The sequence below is a fragment of the Homo sapiens genome, chromosome 7 (genome assembly GCF_000001405.40).
Source record: "Homo sapiens chromosome 7, GRCh38.p14 Primary Assembly".
In the NCBI taxonomy this organism is placed as follows: Eukaryota; Metazoa; Chordata; class Mammalia; order Primates; family Hominidae; genus Homo; species Homo sapiens.
In genome coordinates, this window is record NC_000007.14 from 24,522,114 (window position 1) to 24,531,071 (window position 8,958).

The following is an 8,958-nucleotide window of genomic DNA, read 5'->3' on the forward strand; positions in this document are numbered from 1 at the left end:
CCCTGAGAGATGGAAGCAAACAAGGCAAGCTCACTGCATTGAGAAAATTTCCAGGTCACAACTCCTGCAGAGAGATTCAGGCAGAGTCTAGCAGACTCCTGAGTTGAAAGATGGAGCAGAAAGTCCAGGAAGACCAAGGCATCCAGAACCTGCAGGATGGAGTAATGAGATGGAGAAAGCTGAACAGAGAGAGAATTCCAGAAATCTGCAGGAGGCTGGCTCTCTGTCAGTCTTTAGCTGAGCACTAATCAGCAAATGCACAGGAGGAGACCGCCAGAGGCCAGGGGAAGAATCTCCTGAAAGGATTGAGGTGAACAGTGCCTGGAGCTCAAGTAGCACAGGACTCACTGGCCAGACTGGAGAAGCTCATGATTCATGGGACATTACATAATGTATTCAGAAGGACTTAACTCGGTGGTGGAAAATTAGTCCTCAGCTGAAACAATGCTCCAGTCCTGTCTAACAAACCTTAAAAGCAAGACCCCAAAGCATCAAACTATTTCCAAGTAATCTAACTGAATCCTGGAATAAAGCTCAAGACCATCACGTGAATACAAAAATATTCAGTACCCAACAAGGTAAAATTCACAATGTCTAGAATGCAACCAAAAATTAAACAAGTGTGCAAGGAAGAAAGAAAAATACTCACAATGAGGAGATAACTTCTTTCAGCTTTTTTTACCTCTTGCCTGTCTAAAATAGTCTTTAATTGGCTTTCAATTTTGAAAGATATTTTCTCTGGGTACAGAATTCCATGTTAATAGTGTTTTTCTTTCAGTATTTTAAATATCTTGCTCTTTTCTCACTTGAATTTGTTCCTAGTGACATAGCTGCTGTCATCCTTATTTTTTTTTCTTCTACATGTAGCATATCTTTTTTCTTCTGGCTGATTTTAAGATTTTTTTTTCTTTATCACTGGTTTTGAACAATTCCATTATAATATGCCTCGCTGTCATTTTTCTCATGTTTCCTGTACTCAGGGTTAATTGGGATTAATACAGGTGATTAATCTAACACAAATGTTAGAATTAGGAACTAAAAGCAATAAAACAATTATTATAACAATATTCCATATATTTAAAAAGTTAGAGACATAGAGGACATAAAAAAAGATACAATATCAAACTTGTAGAGATGATACTACAATGTGTGAGATGAAAAACACACTGGATGGGATTAACAGCAGGGCATGCATTACAGTAGAATGGTATTAGTGAATTTGAAGACACAGCAATAGAAACTTCACAATACAATGAGAGAAAGAGAGTCAGAAAAATAAAGAGTATCAGGGATCTGTGGGACAACCTCAAGCAGCTGAATGTACCTGAAATGGGAGTCACCATGTGTGCAGAGTCAGGGGGAAAACAGAAGAAATATTATTTTTATGTGGAACAATGGTTCAAACTTTTTCAAATTTGATGAAAACTATAAACCTACATATCTAAGAATCCTAACTAACCCTGAGCACAGGAAACATGAGAAAAATGACAGCAAGACATATTATAATAGAATTGTTCAAAACCAGTGATAAAGAAAAAAAAATCTTAAAATTAGCCAGAGGAAAAAAAGATATGCTACGTGTAGAAAAAAATAATAAGGATGACAGCAGCTATGTCACCGGGAAAAAATTCAAGTGAGAAGAGAAAAGAACAAGATATTGAAAGAAAAGCACTATTAAACTGGAATTCTATACCCAGAGAAAATATCTTTCAAAATTGAAAGCCTATTAAAGACTTTTAGACAGGCAACAGATTAAAAAGCTGAAGGAATTGATTACCACCAGGTCCACACTACAAGAAATGCTAAGAAAGTCTTCAGACACAAAAGAAATGATATAAGATTGAAATACAAAGAAATGATGAGATTAAAAATGGAACTCTGTGGGTAAATGAATTTTTTTCATCACTTAAATCTCTTTAAAAGATGTAGGCTGTTTAAGTAAAAATAATGGCAATGGACAGTGGGCTTTCTGCCATTTGTACCAGTGAAGTGTATGGCAATAATAGCACAAAAGTCAAATAAAAAGAAATTGAAGTTGTTTCTTACCCTATATCTAAAGTAGTAAAATATCACTTGAATGTTGACTGATATATTTTTTAAAATCAGTAAGAATATGGAAGATTTGAACAATACTATTAGCCAACTTGACCTTGTTGACATTTACAGAATACTCCATGCAACAAGAGCAGAATACACATTCTTCTCAAGTACACACAATATTTACTGCGGTAGGCTATTTTCTGGGTATAAAGCAAATCTCAATAAATTCAAAAGGATTCGAGTCATACTGAGTATGTTCTCTGACCACAGTGGAAATGAGTAAGAAGACATAAACATCTTTAGAAAAGTCTTAAAATATATGGAAACTAAATATTCCACTTCTAAACAACCCATGGATGAAAAAAGAAATCAAAAAAAATTAGAACATGTATTCAACCAAATGACAATGAAAATGCAAAATGCTAGAATTTGTGTGCTACTGTTAAAGTAGTATTTAGAGAGGAATTTACAACAATTATTGCAGTTTTTAGGGGATAGTTTAGGTCTATATTAGAAAAGAATAAATATCTCAAATCAGTGATCTCAGCTTCAACCTTAAGTGACAAGAAAAAGAAGAGCAAGTTAAACCCAAAATAAAAGAAAATAAATAATAAAGATCAGAGCAAGAATTAATGAAATAGAAAATGAAAAAACAATAAAGTCAATAAAATTAAAAAGCCTAGTTTTTTGATATCAATCAAATTGATTAACCACTAGCCAGATTGATTAGTCAAAAAAGAAAGAAGTTACAAATTACCCGTATCTGGAATGTGGGAGGTGGCATCACTGCAAATTCTACAAATACTAAAGGATAACAGTTGAATATTAGGAACAATTTTAAGCCAATAAATTCAACAACTTAGATTAAATAGACAAATTCCTCAATAGACACAAATTATCAAAGCTCACTCAGGAAGAAATACATACCTGAATTGCCCTATAACTATTAAAGAATTGAAATTGTAGTTGAAAAATATTTTGACAAAGAAAACTCTAGGCCCACATGGCTTCTTTGGTGAAATCCACCAAACAAGTAAGGAAGAAATAATATTAATTCCATACCAACTTTTCCAGAAAACATTACATTAATACCAAAACCAAAGACATTAGAAACTTATACATCTGTCAAGTGCGGTGACTCACACCTGTAATCCTAGCACTTTGGGAGGCTGAGGTGGGCGGGTGGCTTGAGCCCAGGAGTTTGAGACCAGCCTGAGCAACTTAGTGAAACCGTGTCTCTACAAAAAATACAAAAATTAGCCAGGCACAGTGGTGCACACCTGTGGTCCTGATCGCTTGAACCTGGGAGGTGGAGGGTGCAGGGAGCTGAGATCATGCCACTGCATTCCAGCCTGGGTGACAGAGCGAGACCCTGCCTCAAAAACAAAAAACAAAAAAACTATAGACCAATATCCCTCATAAACATAAAGGCAAAAGTTCAGCAAATTGAACACAACAATATTTTTTAAAACGATAATACATCATAGCCAACTGAGATCTATCCCAGTATGCACATTTGGCTGAATATTAAAAAATTTTTAATGTAATTGACTGTATTAGCAAACTTTGAAAAAGAAAAAACCTTTGATTATCTCAAAAGATGCAGAGCAAACATATAGACAAAATTCAATACCCATTTCCAATAAAAACGCTCAGCAAATTGGGAGTAGAAGAGGACTTCTTCAGCGTGATAAAGAGCATCTAGAAAAACCTATAGATAAATATCATACTTAATGGTAAAGTATGAATCTTTCCCACTAAGATCAGGAAAAAGACAAGGATGTCTATTCTCACCTCTTCTACACAATATTTTACTAGAGGTTCCAGCCAGTACATTACGGCAAGAAAAAGAAATAAAGTAACCATATTTGAAAGGAAGAAGCAAAACTGTCTATATTTGCAGACAACATGATTATCTATGGGGAAAATCTGGTGGAATCTACAAAAAATTTTAAAAACTAGTAGAACTAAAAAGTGAGTTCAGTAAGGTTACAGGACTCCAGGTCAATATACAAAGTCTAGTATATTTCTATATACCAGCAACAAACAATCAGAAATTGAAATTTTAAAAAATATTTACAGTAGCATCAAAAAGTATTAAATACTTAAGAGTAAATATGGCAAAAGATATGCAAGTCTTGTACACTGAAAACTACAAAACATTTCTGTGGGAAATTAAAGAAGACCTCAGTAAATGTAAAAATATATCTAGTGCTTGGGTCAGAAGACTCAATATTGGTAATACGTCAACTCTTCCCAAATTAAACCATAAATTCAACATGATCCAGGCAAAAATCTCAGTAGGTTTTTTTTTTTTCTTAAATTGAAAAAAAACAGACTCTAAAATCACCTGGAAATGCAAAGGGCTCACAATAGTCAAAACCACTTGGAGAAAAACAAAATTGGAGGACCAACAGTACCTTATTTCAAGATCTATGTTAAAGCCGCACTAATCAAGACAATCTGATATTGCTGTAAAAACAAAGATAGATGAGAGAGAGAGAGAAACATAGAGAGTCCACAAATAGAACTACATATAGCAGCAACTAATTTTTAACAAAGTGCAAAAGCAATTCAGCAGAAAAATGATACTTTTTTGACAAAATATGACAATTTTAAAAACTAATAAAAATATAAAACTTCATGAAGAAAACATAGATGCAAACTTATCTGACTTTGGATTATGCAACAATTTTTAAAACATGACTTCAAAAGCATAATCTATAAATGAACAAATTTAACAATTGGACTTCTTCAACCTATAAATGAACAAATAAAAAAATTACACTTGTTCCTCAAAAGATACTGTTAGGGAATAAATAGACAAGCCATATACTGGGAAATGTCTTTGCAAAGCAGACAGTCCTATATTTGATATACGACTTGTATATTGAATATAAATAGAATTCTCAAAATATAATACTAAAAAGAAATAATCCGATGAAAACTAGGTAAAAGACTTTGACAGACACTTCACCAAAGAAAACATACAAATGGCAAGTAAGCACATGACAAGATGTTCAATATCATTCGTCTTCAGGAAAATAAAATTAGAACTACAATGAGATACCACTACACACCTATTAGACTGTCTAAAACTAAGTACTGGTAAGGATAACAAATTAAATATTGGTATGAATGTGGAGGAACTAAAGTCTCACGTGCTAGAAAGAATATAAAATGACCCAACTATCTTAGAAAAACAATTTAACAGTTTCTTAAAAACTTAAACTAACACCTATCCTATGATCCAGCCATTTTACTCCTAGGTATTTGACAAAGAAAAATGAAAATATACATATGCATGTTTTCATATATATGTGCGTGTATATACATATGTACATGTATATATACAAATATGTATTAGTCCGTTTTTATGCTGCTGATGAAGATATACTCGAAAATGGGAAGAAAAAGAGGTTTAATTGGACTTAGAGTTCCACATGGCTGGAGAGGCTTCAGAATCATGGCAGGAGGCAAAAGGCACTTCTTACATGGCGGCAGCAAGAAAAAAAATGAGGAGGAAGCAAACGCTGAAACCCCTGATAAACCCATCAGATCTCATCAGACTTATTCACTATCACGAGAATAGCACAGGAAAGGCCGGCCCCAATAATTCAATTACCTCCCCCTGGGTCCCTCTCACAACACGTGGGAATTCTGGGAGATACAATTCAAGCTGAGATTTGGGTAGCAACACAGCCAAACTATATCAACATATATATGCATATGAACATATGTATATATACACAAAAACTTGTATACAAATAAAATTTATAGCAGATTTATTTGTAATAATCAAAATCTAGGAAAAAAACAAATGTCCACCAACAGATGGTATATCCACACAATGGACTACCCACTCATCAACAGAAAGGAAAGAATTATTGACACATGCTACAACACAGAAGTATCTCAATATAATAATGCTTAATGAAATAAGCAAGATTAAAAAGTGCATACTTTATGATTTCATCCATATAGACTCCTAGGAAATGTGAAGTAAGGAATAATGACAGAAGCAGATCAGTGGTTGCCTGGGAATGGTATAGGGAGTACAAAGCAAGGACCAGCAGGAGGGAGAAAGGAGTGTGAGGAAACCTGGGTATGATGGATATACTTATTATCTTGATTATGGTGATGGTTTCACAGGTGATACAGATCTTTAACGCACAGAATCGTATGTGTTTAATTTTAAATTTATACAGTTTATTGTATGTCAATTATAGCTCAATAAAGGTATCAAAAGCTGCACTGTGATATTTTTGTTTATGGAAAGAGCAATTATTATTAAAATGATTGTACTCAGTGCAGGTAAGCATGGAATGTGAAGGACACGCCTATATACAACTGTTTTGAGCAACATTGGTATAACTTTTCTGCAGGGAATTTGGCAAATATAAAAGCAAGTGTAAATAAGTTCATATTCTATATCTCAGTAACATCATTTTCTAAGTGTTCATATCTGAAAATATGAACAAAAATAACTAAAAACCTGTTAGTCATGATGTTATTTATAATTTTAAATTTTTAAAATAAGGAAGTCACAAATAAATCATCACAAAGTCATTCAAGAGAATGTTACTCAACCATTAAAATTATGCTAAGAAAGAGTTTAATAATATGGGAAACTAAAATAAATTTCAAAACTAGGATATAAAACTACATATAAAGTTTAATGTTACACATACACACACACAAATATACGCATATGTATATTTTTTAATGTGAGTAAGAAATGTTTCCTAGTATGGAAAGAAATATACCAAAAGGTAAATAGTGATTGTTTCTGAACGGTGACTTCAAATTCTTTTTTCATACATTTCCATATTTTCTATAGTAAGCATGTATTACTTTTATAAATTCAAACATTCTTCTTTAAAAGAGGTAAGAAGGTAGTTTTTTAAATAATGGCAGAATAGGCATCTGATATTCATCTTACCATTATCTTTGCTGCTAATGCTGCCATTTGTAAAACAACTATTCCCTAAAATGACGGAAGCTTTAACTATTATAAATAAAATGTATTAAATTTTGATTGGATCATTAAGCATTCATTCCTGATTGATATAATCTCCTGTTTCAGAACATTCAAACAACTACTTTCATTTTCAAGCTTTTTTTTTTTTTTTTTTTTTTGAGACAGAATCTTGCTCTGTCACCCAGGCTGGAGTGCAGTGGCACCATCTCCGCTAACTGCAACTTCCACCTCCCCGGTTCAAGCGATTCTCCTGCCTCAGCCTCCGGAGTAGCTGGGACTACAGGCGTGTGCCAGCACACCCGGCTAATTTTTGTATTTTTAGTAGAGACGGGGTTTCGCCAAGCTTTTATTAAAATCCCATCTTTTAGTTCCAGTAAATCTTCTCCAAGGTGGAGGATAGAATATAGAAACATAAAGAATAAAACTAGGGGAAATGTTTGTACTAAAAATTAATATATACACAACTAATCATCACTAAATAATGAGAAACGTTGGCTCTATCAAAGAAAGTGAGCAAAGGAATAAAATAGGTCTACAGAACTATAGTCAACAAATATATTAAAGGAGTCTATCTTAATTAATAATCAAACAAAAGCAAATTTAAACATCAGTGAGTGCCATTTTTCAATCCATCAAGTTGGCAAAGTTTTAAAAATCCAATCCTCAAAATTGGCAAATGTGCAGGGAGGTAAGCACTCACCAATGCTATCTTTGTCCATCCAGGCTGCTATTACAGAATACTATAAACAATAAAAATTCATCTCCCCACAGTTGTTGTAGGGAGAGAAGTTCAAGATCAAGGAGCCTGCAAATTTGGTGTTTGGTGAGGGACAACTTTTCTGGTTCATAGACGGTGCCTACTTTCTGTGTCCTCACATGATAAAAGGAGTGAAGGGTTCTCTCTGCAGGCCACTTTTATGAGGGCACTAATGTGTTTCATGAGGACTCCACCCCATGCCTAATCACCTCCCAAAGGCCCACCTCCTAATATCATCACCTTGGGGGTTAGGATTTCAACATGTGAATTTCAAGGGGAACACAAACATTCAGACCATAGCAAATACCATTGGAGAGTGCATTAAAACAGTATACATTTTCTTGAAAACAATGACTCAAAGATTTGTGCAAGGAAATATGTTTATCAAAGCATCATTTGTAACAAAAAGATCAGAAACAACCCAAATACCCAATAATAGGGATAATTAAAATAATTATGGTGCATTCATGCCATAGAACATTTTAAGGCTGTTAAAAATCAGGTATTTAAAGAATAATTAGAAACAAGGAAAATTGCTTATGAAACAGTGCTGAATTTAAAAAGAACTAAGTAAGTACATGACCCAATTATGTTCAATATGGAGACAAAGAGAGAAAGAGAGAGAAACTGGGGAGCAGAAGGGAATAAAACCAGAAGGAAATATCCACATGTATTATCAATGATTAATCTCTGCTGAGGGGAGGGAGAATATTATTAGTAATTTATTTCTATAAGTATATATATACACTTATCTGTGTCTCCAAATTTTCTTTCTTTTATTATTAGAAAGGTTAATGTTACTGAATTTTAAGAAAAAAATAAAAAATTGGGGAGTGAAAAAAGAAAAGTAGAGAAGCTTAATGACTGCCAATGTGTATCTTCAGTCTTACTTATCCCTCAAACCCTGCCAGTATTCACAACTGAGCATACCCTCTCAGATGTCCACAGATATTTAAATTAAGAAGCACACAATTAAGCTCCTCATCTTTTCCCACAAATTTGTACTTCTTGTTAATCTTATTTAATAAGATCCCCCATTCATTAATTTATTTATTTAACAAATATATATTGAATGTGCACTATGTGGCAGGCACAGTAACAGGGAGTGTGGGGGGCAGTGCAACAATGAATAATGAATAAGATGTGGACCCTTCCTTCAAGAATCTTCTGGTGTTGTGAT

General features: G+C 33.7%; 1 annotated feature.

Moving 5' to 3' along the window:
* Nucleotides 299–506: a silencer, noted in NCBI's record as "fragment chr7:24562031-24562238 (GRCh37/hg19 assembly coordinates)". NCBI's record gives its function as "represses an EF-1alpha promoter that drives an FKBP-Casp9 reporter gene in an ReSE screen in phorbol 12-myristate 13-acetate-treated (for megakaryocytic differentiation) K562 erythroleukemia cells {active_cell/tissue: K562(+PMA)}" and the evidence as "EXISTENCE:reporter gene assay evidence [ECO:0000049][PMID:32094911]".